Source organism: Homo sapiens, chromosome 12 (genome assembly GCF_000001405.40).
Source record: "Homo sapiens chromosome 12, GRCh38.p14 Primary Assembly".
NCBI classification, from domain to species: domain Eukaryota; kingdom Metazoa; phylum Chordata; class Mammalia; order Primates; family Hominidae; genus Homo; species Homo sapiens.
The window spans coordinates 108,271,685-108,287,766 of NC_000012.12; the positions used below are offsets into that span (position 1 = coordinate 108,271,685).

At 45.5% G+C, this 16,082-nt stretch overlaps 1 pseudogene; it reads right to left on the minus strand.

Annotated features, from left to right (window-relative positions):
• On the minus strand, positions 9,266 to 10,598 carry LOC196469 (DNA dC->dU-editing enzyme APOBEC-3G-like; annotated as a pseudogene).

The following is a 16,082-nucleotide window of genomic DNA, read 5'->3' on the forward strand; positions in this document are numbered from 1 at the left end:
GCATGTAATGCTCACATCAAACCTACAGGGCAGAAACCAGTACCATCCCTTTTCACCATGGAGGAAACTGAGGTTCAGAGGATTAAATGAATTGCTCAAGATAAGCAGGAAAGTGACAGGGTCAGGGCTTGGGCCTTTGATCTCAGACCAAAGCCAGTGGGTAGAACCACTTGTCAAACTGTACATAGCAGGTGGGGAGGGAGAGTGGAGGAAAGACACCACCATCTCATGTGCGTCTGTGTAAAACATGGACATGAATACAATAGAGCACAATTTATTCAGCAGGAAGCCAATGCCTTGTGCAGAATGCCCCAGGGTGGGGGAAAGGGTGTGGATAGGGGCAGTCCAAAGAAGCAGAAAATCTGAAATCTCCAAGAGCCCTTTTTCTCCAGCCCCTCTGTGGTTTTTATGGTCACCAAGCCAAGCCCCCGTTAATCCAATTAAAATGGACTTGTTTATGCTTATCAGCTCTTTATTTGGTTTGTTTAAAATGTGCAAATTACCCAGGGGCCTCTGCGTTGCCTGAACCAAAAGGCATCAATAAGACTATTAAGTTAAATCCAATTACTTGCAGCTGCTGGAACTTGAGTCTGGTGGAGCAGAACAGAATTGGGGGAGGGGGAGGCAGGATTTGCTGGAGAGAGAGGAGATCCTTCGACCCCCTCACTTAGCCTGGCTCCTCTCAAGCATTTTCTGAATGTGGGTGGGAGAAGACAAAGAGACCCCATTTGCCATATGCTGGACAGTGCAACCTGTACTGTATCATCTAATTATCTCAGTAGCTCCACAAGGTGGGCACTATTGGACCCATTTTGCAGATGAAAGAACTGAGGCTCAGAGAAGTCAAGCAACCCTTCCAGAATGTCACACAGCTAGAAAGTGGGAGAGGCAGGATTGGCCCCTCTGCCTGGAATCTTGGAATGTCAGAGATCAGAGTCCCGAGAAGCTGTCTGGCCAAGAGTATGGATCTGGCAACACACCAAGTTGAGTCTCCACATCTGTAAAACATGCACAACCACGCCCACCTCCCAGGTTTTGGGGAGGAGTCAATGAAGTAATGTGAGTCTCCAAGAAGAGGACTCGGTGAATAGTAGATGATTGTTGCATGCTAACTTCCAATAATTGCACTGGTGTCAAAACTCATCTCCTTCCCTTTCCCTTTCCATACTTTTCAGAAGGGAAGGCTGAGATCCAGATAGGAAAAATGACCTCTGCAAGATTGCACAAAGACCCTGGGACAGGGTTAAGTCCCAGGACTTAAGCACAAGTCCTTGCCTCCTGGTCTAGCATCCCATTTCAGACCCTGTGCTGCCTCTTCATTTTGAAGATGAGGAAACTGAGGTACACAGTGTAGAAACCAAATGCCCATGGTCACTGGGTTCAGTGTTGAGCAAAGTAGCTTGGTAGCCACAGTGTCCTGGGCCTGGTTGTCCCTTAGCTGTGTTGCTTGGGCACATGGCTTGACTTCTGTGAGCACCTGGTCCTCATCTTTAAAAATGAAGCCCATCACTCCTGTCCCAGTGAACCTGTAGAGTGGGATGAAGTCAGGCAGATGAAGCCCTATGTAAGCCAGAAAGTACCATCCAGAGACACACTACAAAGAGCATCACATACAGGACATTTGGGGAAGAGCTTGAGCATCTATTTTCTTAGTCTCCAAAGGCCCCGGATGGGTTATTAATTCCTGGCAATCCTCAGACCCAAGGGACACACGGAGCACAGGAGAGGAGGACAGATGCCCAGGATTCCAGGCAACACTAATCCTATTACAAATGCATTAAGAACCTTAGGGAATCACACCCAGCACACCCTTTCCATGGATATTTTCCAATTCTGTCCCTGGCCAGTCCCCAGGTTCTCAGAAGTCTAGTAAGCAACTCCACATAAGTGAGCAGAAAAATTGTGTGCAACTGGACAGGAACCTGAGTACAGCAATACCAGGCTGTCCATGGATGAGGTTCTTTGTGGTGCAATGATCAACATCTGGAAGTCAGATGAAGCTGTGTTCAATGCTGTCCTTCGGGTTATCTCACCAGCTGGGCCACCTTGAGCAGGCGATGTCACCTCTCTGAGCCTCCATTTCCTCCTCTGTGAAAGGTGGAATAATTGTTAATAATGATTGAAGAATTTTTGGTAATTATCTTAATAATGATCATTTTGGCTTTTTATTCTAGCATTTAAGATCCAAAGCCTGTTGGGAATAGCAGAAAGAATTTTTAAAAATTGTATCTGATGACTCTTCTGGAAATTATGAAGGAACTCGTATGGTTAGGGTTTCAAGTAGGTGATCTTGTCCAATTGGCCCCCAGAGTTCATGTGCATGGGAGGAAGATAGGATCTGTTATGTAAGAGAAAGAATGATGTGATATTCTGTTTCTGACATGCAAAATAGAATTGTGCAGCAAGGTTATCAACTGAAGTCAGGCTATTGCCTTGAGGGAGGATGTTCCAGCTTTTATTCTCTTCCTTTGACACATGACAGCTAAGCCAGAAAGGATTGGCTTCTGGATCCTGCCAGAGCGAGGAACTGACTGCCTTCCTTCTATAACTTTGGGGCTTACCCTTAGATGACAGGAGAATATTACAAAGGGAAATACAGAGAAAAGCTGACCCTTTTCCAGAACCCAGGCTAGTGAAAGAAGAAGAGGGAGGGGATTCAGGAGCAGAAGAGCAGACTGGCCAGTTGTGCTTGCTTGGTTTTCCCTCTCCCCACTTTGTTCCAGGTGCACAGAGGGCAGAAGAGCCTCTCTGGATCACATCCCCACTTCCCTGGCTTTCTCGGGCCCCTCAGTTTTCACATGACATGGATGTGGGGTTGACAGTCAGCAGGGTAGCCATGGGACAGGTCTGGGTGACCTTCAAGCAACCATGCCCACCCTCCTGGGATACATCATCTCAATCAAAGCTGGATGGAGGGTGCTATGGCTTCATGTGTCCCCCAAAAGTGTATATGTGGGAAACTTAATCCAACAGTGTTGGGAGGTGGGATCTAATAAAAGATGATTGGGACATGAGAGTAGAGCTTTCGTGAATGGATTCATGCCCTTACTGATGGAGCAGATAAGTTATAGAGGCGGTGTTATTATAAAGCCAGTCCAGCCCCTGGTGCCTGTCTGTCTTTTGTGTTCACTTCTGCCTTCTGCCCTTCCACCATGGGATGGCCCATGCCAGATGCCAATGCCATGCTGTTCGACTTCCCAGCCTCCAGAATCATGAGCTAGATAAAATTTTGTTCATTATAAATTGTCCAGTCTTGGGTATTCTGTTATAGCAACAGAAAAATGACTAAGACAAAGGGTAAGGCAGGGGTGCCTTGAATGACAGGGTTTACACATAGGGGAGCCCAAGGGAAGCTTGTTGGCCAAGCCCAGAGTAAGCTCCCTCCATCCATTGTATTCTACCACCTGTGGCATGGCAAGCAGCACAGGGGAGAACAGAGGAGCCTAGTTGCTCCTCACTCCTCCATACTCTCCTAGGACCATCAAATCATGCCCACCTTCCATATGCCCAAAGCCTCCCCAGGAGAAAATTGAGGAGGGCAGAGTTTCAGAGAGGATGCATATGTTTATCCATAGAAGATTTGCCTCAGGAACTTGTAAAACTATCATTAGGACAAATATTTTAAAACTTGGTTGTATCAGTTTGCTAGGGCTGCCAAATCAAAGTGCCACAAACCGGGTGCCTTAAACAATGGAAATTTATCGTTACAGTTCTGCAGGCTGCAAGTCTGAGATCAAGCTGCTAGCAGGACTGGTTCCTTCTGAGGCCTATAAGAGATCTGTCCCAGACCTCTATCCTTGAGTTGTAAGTGGCCATCTTCTCTCTGTGTCTTGTCATGCCATCTTCTCTCTGTACGTGTCTGTGCCCAAAATATCCTCTTCTTATAAAAACATCGGTCCTAGTGGAATCAGGGCTTACCTCAATGGCCTAATTTTAAGTTGATTCCTTCCGTAAAGACCCTCTCTCCAAAGAAAGTCACACTGTGATGTATTGAGAGTTAGGCTATTAACATGTAAACTGGGAGACAGGGGATACAATTCAACTCATAACAGGGGTATAGCTTAATTTTTTAAACTTTCTTTTTTTTTTTTTTTGCCAACATAGGGTGTGTGTCAGAGAGGGAAGAGAAGACCAGATCAGCTACAGACAAATAAAATACATTTTCTTCACACAACCAAATTGAAGCAAGCATTAAACATGCAACCCCAATACATAATTTAGGCAGATTTGTGCAGCCTCCTGAATCAATGGCCTGGATTAGATATGGCCCCCCGGAGATAACAAAGCAAATGCAATCTTGTAGCTCCAGTTTTGAAAGAAAAAAAAAAGAATAAAACATTACAACAGTGAGAGCTAGCAATTTCTTTTTTTTTTCTTTTTTCTTTTTTTTCTTTCTTTTTTTTTTTTTTTTTGTGGAGACAATGTCTCCCTATATTGCCCAGGCTGGTCTGAAACTCCTGGGCTCAAGTGATCCTCCCACCTTGGCCTCCCATAGAGCTGGCAACTTTTTAATCACGTAGTTTTCCAGACCATGTGATAAGCTTTGTAAATGGACTATTTTGCAGAATCCTCATGCAACCCTGCAAAATGTTTGTTATTACACTCCCAATCTTACAAATGGGAAAACTGAGGTTCAAAGAGGGAGAATCATTTACCCAATTATAGTGGCTTGATTCCAGAGCCTGTGCATGTGATCACTGCCTGCCTACCATCCCCTCTTTTCCAAGCTGGCTGACCTCTTCTTAAAGGTTCCAAAGAGCTCTTCCCTCTGCTCTAAGAGGGAAGCAGGGACCCAGAGGCCGGGCTAGTGTGCAGAAAGCCTGGGTTAGTTAAATCTGCTGGCTTCCTAGGGCTTAAGTGTGGGGCCTCAGAAACTCAGCTGTACTGGAGCAAGAACCCATCAAGAAATTACAGAAACAATAATAAAAAGGAACTAACCTAAGCGTCCATCAGTAGGGGATTGGTCAGATAAATTGCAAAACTTCTATGTCTACTAGGCAATCACTTGAATAACCAAACCTGCATAGAGGAACATTTAGTGAACTGATTTTTTTTTAATTTTATTATTATTATACTTTAAGTTTTAGGGTACATGTGCACAACGTGCAGGTTTGTTACATATGTATACATGTGCCATGCTGGTGTGCTGCACCCATTAACTCGTCATTTAGCATTAGGTATATCTCCTAATGCTATCCCTCCCCCCTCCCCCCACCCCACAACAGTCCCCAGGGTGTGATGTTCCCCTTCCTGTGTCCATGTGTTCTCATTGTTCAGTTCCCACCTATGAGTGAGAACATGCGGTGTTTGGTTTTTTGTCCTTGCGACAGTTTGCTGAGAATGATGGTTTCCAGCTTCATCCATGTCCCTACAAAGGACATGAACTCATCATTTTTTATGGCTGCATAGTATTCCATGGTGTATATGTGCCACATTTTCTTAATCCAGTCTATCATTGTTGGACATTTGGGTTGGTTCCAAGTCTTTGCTATTGTGAATAGTGCCACAATAAACATACACGTGCATGTGTCTTTATAGCAGCATGATTTATAATCCTTTGGGTATATGCCCAGTAATGGGATGGCTGGGTCAACTGGTATTTCTAGTTCTAGATCCCTGAGGAATCGCAACACCAACTTCCACAATGGTTGAACTAGTTTACAGTCCCACCAACAGTGTAAAAGTGTTCCTATTTCTCCACATCCTCTCCAGCACCTGTTGTTTCCTGACTTTTTAACGATCACCATTCTAACTGGTGTGAGATGGTAGCTCATTGTGGTTTTGATTTGCATTTCTCTGATGGCCAGTGATGATGAGCATTTTTTCATGTGTTTTTTGGGCATAAATGTCTTCTTTTGAGAAGTGTCTGTTCATAAATAAAAATGTTATAGAACAGAGTATCTTTTTTACTAGATAGTTATTAAAAGATACAGACATATAAACTAGACTTTAGATTATAAACTAAAATGATAATAGTACTTATTCCTGGGTTCACAGGTAGTTTTCCTTTAATCAATCTTCCTTTCTTTCACTTTCTCTTTCTTTCTTTCTTACCCTTTCTTTCTTTCTCTTTATTTTCCTTTCTTCCTCCCTCCCTCCCTTCCTCCTCTCTTTCTTTCTTTCCTTTTCTTTTCTTTCTTTCACTTTTTCCTTTCTGTCTTTCTTTCTTACCCTTTCTTTCTTTCTCTTTCTCTCTTTCTCTTCCTTCCTTCCTCCCTCCCTCCCTCCTTTCTTTCTTTCTCTCTTACTTTCTTTTTCTTTTTCCTGGTTTATATATACTAAATTTTTTGCCAAATATGATGAGCTAATATTAAAAAAAGAGAAAAATTATTACTCTCAAGGGATAAGGCATTCTGATTTTCTGAGAAATAAGTTCTTACTTTTTAGGAGAGCCCACCCCACCAAACACCATAATTTTGCTCAGATCCAATAATTTATGTTTTCTCCTAACAAAAATGTGAATCTCCGGCCTGAACAGGTTGGTCATTATTTTTTAAAGTGTCTCCTGTCTCTTCTGTAGGAGACACCACTCAGTGCCTATCCCTAACCCATTCCCCTTCTTCCATGTAAATGAAACCCTGATCTTGTCTGAATGTCCACTTCTTTGTCCTGTGTCCCCTGGGTGGATCCTGATTGGTCTAAACCAATCTTCTTTCCTTATCAGTGATTGGTTTAGCAGTAGCCATGTGACCCAGTTCTGGCCAAAAAGGTGTGAGGGGAGTTCTGCTAGGGGGTTGGGGGCGGGGGCAGATTCCCTTGCAACACTCTGAGATAATCAATGGCTCTTCTACTTGATGCCATGGGCAGCTGCAATATCTGATACTGTGAGTGCCATCTTTTGACCAGGAGATATGTCATTTTGGGGACAAAGCCAATCCTCTGAAGATGACAGAGCAAACAGAAGGAAACACTCTGGATCCTTGATGCCAATATTCAGTTGCTGAGTTCTCAACCTCCAGGCATTCTTAGTATGCAAATGAATGCACTTTTCCTATAGATTCTACCGTTTTGAATGAGGTCTCTGTTACTTGCAGTCCAATGCATTCTAACTGATATAATCTTATTTCTTTCAAACTTTGCTTGGTTTATTTTAAACCGTGATTCCTAAGATAAATGTTAAATAGCATAGGGTATCAAGACTTTTATTCGTGTAATATATATTCCTAGCCTTTAAAGATATACTGATTTTCTGTTTCTGTGCTTCTCAAGTTTACAGGGATTGATGTGTCTGAACCAAAATATGAGAAGATGACTGAGCAGTTGAATGAAATGGAGGATCACATCATGGAGTGGGAAACCGGAGCCGGGCATGGACATGTCCAAGTTTTTGCCATGTCTCACTGCTAATGTATTGTGAGACTAATTTTTCATCAGAGATCCTGGGATGGGCTTGACAATACTGATTATAGGGCTTTTTATCTCTGACATGTTAAGATTGAACTAGCTGTTTCCATACATCTATCTATATCTGTGAGGATTCTGTGGCCAGCAGACCGAAATGAGGTTTATAAAAGGATAGAATGCCCAAGGAATTCAGGAATCAGAAAGTGGGGACATTTCAGATTCTAATAACCTGCAAAACCAATCGTCCCTATAGGGAGAATGGAAGAAGCTAGGGAGCCTCCACCTATTCCCTGTTTCTTTATCCTTTAACCTGCCTCAGTTCCTGCAATTTCACCTTTAGCATGCCATTCACTTGGGTTAAGCAGCATCATCTTTTACTGCTTTTTCAAAGGAAGGAAAAGCTATTGGATTAGGTCACTTTTCTGTTTTGAGAATTCAGGGATGGGAGAGCAGTTATTGACAGGTGCGTCATAAAACCCAGAATCAATCTCAACTCAGCAATCCCTAGCCAAAATGTGAGTCTTCTCTAACTCCTGACAAGTTCAAGGCTTCATAACATGAAGTCTTTCCCTTTGCTCTGTCCTAATTCCTCTGTATCTAACTTATTTAACTCAGGAAGGATATGTAGTAAAAGAGTATAAACCACACAGTTATACAGCTGTGGGTTCAAATCTCAGCTCTGCTGCATGCCAATACATTGCAAGATTCATGAAGGTCAGGATGGCATCTGCAGCTGTATCCCCAGAGCCTAGCACATTGCCTGCCATATAGTAAATCCTCAATACAAATCAATGGGTAGATTCTGTGTGGTTCTGGGAAGCTTACTTGTTCCCACTGAACTTCACTTCTTCGTTTCTTTCTTTTTTTTTTTTTTTACTTTCATGCAAAATCTTTATTTGGAACATGTGTGTTACTGAGCAGGCCAGCCGCCATCCTGAAATAGCAAGGGTATTTACATTGTGCAGAGAAACATAACAGCTCCTTGAAGACATTCATCTGTGCTTGGCCGGTATTTTATCTGGTACTTTGCTCTGCTTCTCTCTTCCCTGTGCTCATTATTCTTCATGCACCCTCACTCCTTTTCACCTTAAGGCATCCTGTACCAGCTGACCTATGGGCAATGACCGAAGCCAACAATCAGCCGCTACCAATTGTGTCTTTCTGGGACCCATTCTACCTGCCTTAGGTATTAATGGTGCCTAAAGAAAGAATAAACAGATGAAAGTTTCTGTGGTTAGCTGGCCATGGTGGTGCACACCTGTAGTCCCAGCTACTTAGGAGGTTGAGGTGGGGACAGCACTTGAGCCCAGGAGCTCGAGGCTGCAGTGAGCCATGATCACACCACTGCACTCCAGCCTGGGCTATAGAGCCAGACCCTGTTTCAAGGAGAAAAAAGTTTCTTTGGCGTTGCCAAGCCTTGTCTTCACCAAATTTTAGAAGTTTTTTTTTTATTTAGTATTTCATTTTATTCTTCTACATATAAAATCAAATGGTCACTGGATTAGTAAATTTGAAAACTTTCTGTGTGTATTGACCATAATCTTAACTACTGTATCCTTGAAACATGGTATAAATTTTTGATTAAAAGTAATTCACTCTGATTTTTTTAAAAATCTACTTGTCAGCCAGGCACAGTGGCTCACACTTGTAATCCCAGCACTTTGGGAGGCCAAGGTGGGTGGATCATGAGGTCAAGTGTTCGAGACCGGCCTGGCCAACATAGTGAAACCCCATCTCTACTAAAAATACAAAAAAAAATTAGCCAGGCTTGGTGGCGGGCGCCTGTAATCCCAGCTACTCAGGAGGCTGAGGCAGGAGAGTCACTTGAACCTGGGAGGCGGAGGTTGCAGTGAGCCAAGATTGTGCCACTGCACTCCAGCCCAGACAATAGTGCGAGACTCTGTCTCAAAAAAAAAAAAAAAAAAAAAACTACTTGTCAGGAGCTCATTGCTTTGCTAGTGTCCACTGCTCAGCCAGAGATAGTGGTGAATGGCCTGTTTGCATTTCTTGAAAGATTTCCATTCTGCTGCTCAACACAGGTTTTCTGCCTTCTTTAGAGTCTGAGGTCCATCCTATGGTTTTCCTGATTCTGGAGAATGGCCTGCAGCCTCCCACTTAGGGCTTGACTGTGCTCATCTAGTCCATCCCAGGGCTGGAAGGGACATCCCTGGTGGTCCACAAAGGTGACCCAGCAGTGCCTAAACTTCCGGAGGTCATGATGGAGATTTGGGTCCCAGCCCTCTGCAGCATGCACAGCCCCTCATATCCTGGGAGATAATTATAGATGCATGCAGCGAAGATGTGCAGGCTCACACATCTGTTCTCCCAATGAAATGTAGCCACTTGCTGGGCACAGCTGAAGCAGGGACTCCAGGAGATGAACCAGGTGACCCTGTAGCACTGAGCCCGGTCCAGCTTCCAAAAGGAAATCAGGTACAGGAAGCACTGCTCTGCATGGAAATCTTAATAGCAACTGAGATTATTCAAAGCCTGGCTGGGTAGGATGCCCTTGTTGCTGGTCCAGAGGGACCCAGGCATCATTGTTTTGGCACTCCACCTTGCAGCACAGGTAGGTCTGGTGCTGCCCAGAGACTGAAGGATCATTGGTAAAATTGTAAGTGAATGTGTCTGAGAATCTCCCCCAGCATGCTGTGCAGTAATGCATAATTTGTATTCAGTTGCTTCCAAGGATCAAATAGCATTCTTTGGTTGTACACAAATTTGTCCCAACAGTGTTGAAATTCATCATAGTTCATGATCTTCATGCTGGCATGTGGACTGTTTTTTCTGACACCATCTGTGAAGCTCCTCTTGGTAATCTGCTTCCCAGAAGTAGTAGAGGTGGGCAACGAAGATGGTCAGGGTGACCTTGCCATCCTTGGCCAGGAACTCTGCCACGTTCCCTGCATACTCTGAGCAGGGACTCCAGGAGATGTACCAGATGACCAGGTAGTCCTGGTCACGATGCAGCCTCGAGTTGCAGAACCAATCTACGAATCTCATCTCTGGGTGGTGTTCAGGCTTGGAATAGACCTGGCCTCCAAAGATCCTTGCGTCCAAAGGGGGCTTTGAGGGGTCCTTCTTTGTTTTCATTTTGTAGCACAGCCAGGTGGTGTTCCAACCTGAGAGGATGGGTCTGTTTTCAAAGTTGTAGTAGAATGTGCCTGGATACATCCACTCCATCAGGTTTCTGATCTGAGGCTTCATGTGCAGCCTTCTTGGCAGGCTTGCCCTGACCATGATCTTTGTCTGAAATTTGTCCCCTGTCCCTACCTCTAAGATGTTTCTGCTTAGCTTCTCTGACAGTGAGGGCTCGAATTTCAGCTGACCCAGCATTTCTTCGTTTCTGAAGACAAGGTGGTTTTACCATTTAAGCTTCTGATAAGGATGAAATAGGTTGACCAATGTGGAGTTCCCTCTGGCTGCCTGTCACCATCCCTAAAATCCCATCACAAGTCAATCCTTCCCAGTAAGGCACTGGTGCCCAGGCAGTGGGCTAGGTATTGTAAACTGCCTGCCATCCACCAGGCTATCATCTGCCAGCAGGCAAGGCTGAGAGCCTCCATTCCACCTCCCTGTATGGAATTTGCTCCACAACCGCAGTCCCAACATCTGGAGGCAAACTGGAGACTTGTTCACTCATCTTGATGTTGCTCTGAAGGTGGAAAACATCTGCATAGTGGAAACCAGGGAAAAGATACCCTGGATCTGCCTCTTTCTGTGTTAGGCTTCTGGGCCCCACGGGACCCCCAGGTATTTGGCTGTGTGTTGGTGTCTTAGCGTCATCCAGTGTCCAGCACAGACTTTAATGCCCAGTTGACTATGATTTCTAAGTGAAGGGATAAACACAGGAAGTCTGTGGTCACAGTGGTACCAGCCAAACCCTTAACAGAAACCTGGTCCGGAAAAGAACTACAAAACAATATGAGGAGGAGGGAGGCATCTGGTTCCTTTATTTTCTGGCTGTAATAAATCAGACAACAGGGAAAAGAAAAGGCCAAGGGAGGTGGAAGCACTTGATAGAAACCTCCTTTGTCTGTGATTACTCTTTTTTTTTTTTTTCTGAGACAGGGTCTCACTCTGCTGCCCAGGCTGGAGTGCACTAGTGTGATCTTGGCTCACTACGACCTACGCCTCCCAAGTTCAAGCGACTCTTGTGTCTCAGCCTCCCGAGTAGCTGGGATTACAGGCGTGTGCCACCATGCTCAGCTAAATTTTTTTGTATTTTTAATAGAGACGGAGTTTCTCCATGTTGACAAGGCTGCCCTCAAACTCCTGGCCTCAAGCGATCTGCCCGTCTCAGCCTCCCGAAGTATGGGGATTGCAGGCCTGAGCCACCGCGCCCAGCCTGTGATTACTCTTAATGGCACAAGTAAAGAACTGTGTCTCCTCCACTTCTAAACTAAGTGACCTGCGACCTCAGTTTCCATGTTGGTGAAATGAGGAAAAATCCCACCCTCCCCAGGTTTCATTAAGATAGGAAAAAAATGTGAAAATACTTTGGAAACGGTGTATTATAAAAGTGATTGTCATGAAACTCGATGATGATGATGGCAAAAATAATGTCAGCTTATGATAATGTCTTCATTCATTCAACCAGAAGTTATGAGCAGCTTTTCTGGGCTAAGCACTGCTAGGGATACAATAAGGTGGCCAAAGTCCCTGCCATCTTGCTGGATCCAAGTAGGGGCCAGACTTAAGGCCACTAAATACACACATAATAATATGATTTCAGATGGCAGTAACTAGTATAAAGAAAACACTAATACAAAATAGGGATCTGATAGGCAGCGAGTAGGGATGGAGGCTACCTTAGCATGGCCTGTCTGAGGAGATGGCATTTGGACTGAGACCAGAAGGAGGCGGACGAATCAGTCATGCAAAGGGAAGAGGCAAGTGGGCCCAGAAACAGCAGGAATAGCAAGTGCAAGGGCCTGAGGTGGGACCAATCTTGGCTGTATTGTTGCTGTTGATCTGTTTGTTTCATTTTGCTTGAGAGGCAGAAAGGATCACCTAGCTGGAAAGCAGCATGAGATGAACTTAGAGAAGGAGGCAGTAGCCGATCACATAGGGGTTTTGATGCCATAGTAAGGGCTCTGGATTACTGTATTCTGTGATAAAAGCTCACTCTGGCTGCTTCCTACAGTGTGGGTTGAGGGAGCAAAGACAGAAGTGGGGAGGCCAGCAAGAAAGCCGATGCATATTCAGATGAAAGAGCCTGGCACCTGCTAAACGCTAAAGTGCAGCAATCTCACTGAATCCTCACAGCTGCAAACCTTTATCATGCCCTTTGTCATACAGAGGAGAAAACTGAGGCTTCGGAGGCATTGAATAGCTTGCCCAAGGTCACAGAGCCTAACTCTAACCCTGCCCTTAGCTGACGTAAATAGCAGAGCTTGGATTCGAGCCCTCGCAGTCTGATTCCTGAGCCTACCTGACCCGGTGTCATAAACATCAAAGTCCCTTTGAGTCAGGTGGTGAGGCTGGGGAGGCCCCCAGGAGGGCTTAGTCCTTCCTGAGACTCTACCTCTTTGGATGGATGCTGCAGGAGCCACTGCCCTCTAAAATGCTCTCTTGAATCAAGGACAAACCGTCAGACCTGGTCCTGTCCTGCCACTACCTGTCCTGGGTACCAGTGGAGGTGGGAACTCATTTCTGCAGACAACATGAATTATTTTATTTTTACAAAGACTTTTGCTGAGGCATAACTTACTATAGTGAAGTGCGTTCGTCTTCAATGTACAGATAATTGGGTTTTTACAGATGAACCCCCATTCCCCACCCCTTACCCCGTGTAACCACTATCTAGGTCAAGATGGGGAGCATCCCTCACTCATATTCAGGACAATCTTTAAGAGTAACATTTATGCCCCCAAACAAAGCATGTCTGCCCTACAGCAGTTTTTGCCAAGATCTCCCGCCTCCCCTTCAGCCAGGATTCTGCTGGAAACTCCTCAGGGGAGCCCAGACCCTGGGCAGAAATTCTTTACAGCAGATTAGCACCAAAGTGCTTGTCAATAAACTAAGAAGTGAAGCAGGGTGGCTTGGTGAATGCTCAGGTCTCTGGGGTGATGGTGTTTTAAGAGTGACTCAGGTGAGCATTTTCACACACTTCTCATCTCCCAGCAGTCAGTGAGGCAGGTGGTCTCCATCTTATTTGCAAAGAGGTCTCAGTTTCACCATCTGTGAAATGGGGGAACAGGAAGGGACAAACTTGAGGAAGTAGTCCTTTCCAAACGCAAAAACCCTAAGATTCTCAGGGTTGTGAGAAAGTGACAAGCCCATTCAAATGCAATTTCCTCCTCTCAAGGAAAAAGCAATTCCTCAGACTCCCCGACTCCCACATCTTCAAAATTTGACATGGGAAAGAGAATATGTTCTTGTCCTCTTCTCTCCAGGGAAGGGTCTCTACAGAGGACATTTTGCATTTGCACATTTCTGGGGAAAACAGCAGGAGCTTTCAAGATAAACATACTGGGGTTTGAATCCCAGCTCTGTCACTTACCAGCTGTGTGGCATCGGGCAAAGTCACTTCACCTTTCTGAACCTCAATCTCTTCACTTGTGTATGGAGATAGCAATACCCCTACTGTGAAATCCTTGTTGCAAGGACTCAATGAGACAATGAAACTGAAGAGCTTGCCCAAAACTTAGACAAGGCTGAATTAGTATTTGCTATTATTACTGCTGTTGCTGTTTCTGCATCTTTGAGCACAAGGTAAGTGTTTTATAGACCTGTGCTTCTTCCTCCCTCACCAACTCTCATCTTGCCCCCACCTGTCTATTGACTAGATACCTAGAGCAGTAGCTGCCTGACTTGTCTGGGGGTATCCCCATATCCCAGGGGGAGAGACTTCTGGAAGATTCCCCAGGACAGAACTCAGGTGACCCCCAAGGTCAAACCCCAAGTCCAAGTGCTTGGCATCTCATCTGTATAAAGTCCCCACAGCACAACCTGCAATTGCAGCATTAACATGCCTCTGTTCCTCTTAGGTTAATATATGTATTATTTATAGGGCTTTATTATGTGTTCAGAGGGCTCCCCTGAGAAATATAATTGTGCATTGGGTGGTACATTTGAATAATATTTACAATTAATTTCAGACAATAAAGCAATGCACCGAGGCCTCTGTGTAGCAGAAATGGGCCCTGGGTTGGTTTCCCACTAACCACTCCCCTGAGAAAGCTTGGGTAGCTTTTAAATATCTTTCCAATAGTCCATTTCTCTCCAGCATCGCTTCTGTTTCCCCAGTCCAGATTCCACCATGGCTCATCTGAGGCTGCAGTAGCCTCCGGGCTTCCCACTCTGCCCCTCTCCAACCTGTCCTCCCCAGAGCAGCTAGGGGCATTGTTCCAGCATGCAGATCTGAGCATGGCACTCCCCTGCACATGGCTGCCGCATCTCAGGGTGAAGGTCTCCCCCACTGCCTGGCCCTTCCACTCCACCCCCACCTGGTCTCACTCATCCTACACCCTCCTTGCAGCCAGCCCCCCACCCCCACCACTTCCCGTCACTGTGAGCATTGCTCCCTCTTGCATCAATGCCACTGCCCCTGCTGTCCCCTCCACCTGGAGCACCCTCCTCCTGCACCTCCTTACCACATCCGTGCCCACCCATCTTCCACATGTCAGCTCAAGTGTCCCCTCCCCAAGGAAGTTTCCTTAGTCTTTGGACAGGATCGGATCCCTCTATAATGTGTGTGCAGGCCTGGCACCATGGCTCACGCCTGTAATCCCAGCACTATGGACGTCTGAGGCAGGAGGATCACTTGAGCCCAGGAATTCAAGACCAGCCTGGTCAACATGGAGAAACCCTGTCTCTACAAAAAATAAAATAAAATAAAAAATACAAAAATTAGCTGGGTGTGATGGCATGTGCTTGAGGTTCCAGCTACTCCGGAGGCTGAGATGGGAGGATCACCTGAGCCCAGGGAGGTCAAGGCTAAAGTGATCGTGCCATAGCATTCCAGCCTGGGCAACAGAGAAAACATTTCCTGGGGTTGTTTCCCATTGGGGGACGTGTATAATTTTGATTATTGGCTGTCTCTCTCATAAGTCAATGAATGAGCTCAGGAGGACAGAGGCTGTGTACGTCTTGATCATCTCTCTGTATATAGTGCCTACCACAGAATTAGCAAAAGAGTAGCTGTTAAATACATTTTAATGGAATGGATGAATGGGTGGATAGATAGATGGTTATGTAAGTGAATGGGTGAGTGGATGGATGGCTAGGCGAATGTTGAGATGAATGGCTGGGTGAGTGGATGTCGGAGTCAGTGGGTAAGTGGGTGGATGAGTGGATGTTGGGGTGGATGGGTGAGCTCATCTTGGGATAATGGGTGGGTGGATGGGTGAATGGATCTTGCGGTGAATGAGTGGGTGAATGGGTGGGTGGATGTGTGGGTGGATATTAAAGTGAATGGATGGTGGATGTGTGAGTGGATATTGGGGTGAATAGATGGTTGGATAGGTGGGTGGATCTTGGGGTGAATGAGTGGGTGAATGGGTGGGTGGATGGGTGGGTGAATCTTGGGGTGAATGGGTGGATGGGTAGATCTTGGAGTGAATGGGTGGGTGGATAGGTGGGTGGATGTTAGGGTGAATGGGTTGGTGAAAAGGTGAATGGATGAATGTGTCACAGGAGCATCTGTCCTTGGGCCACCTGATGCAGTGCCAAAGAGTATAGACCTGACCATGAGGAGGCCTGGCTTTATGTCCCTTATCTGCTAGGGTTTACTA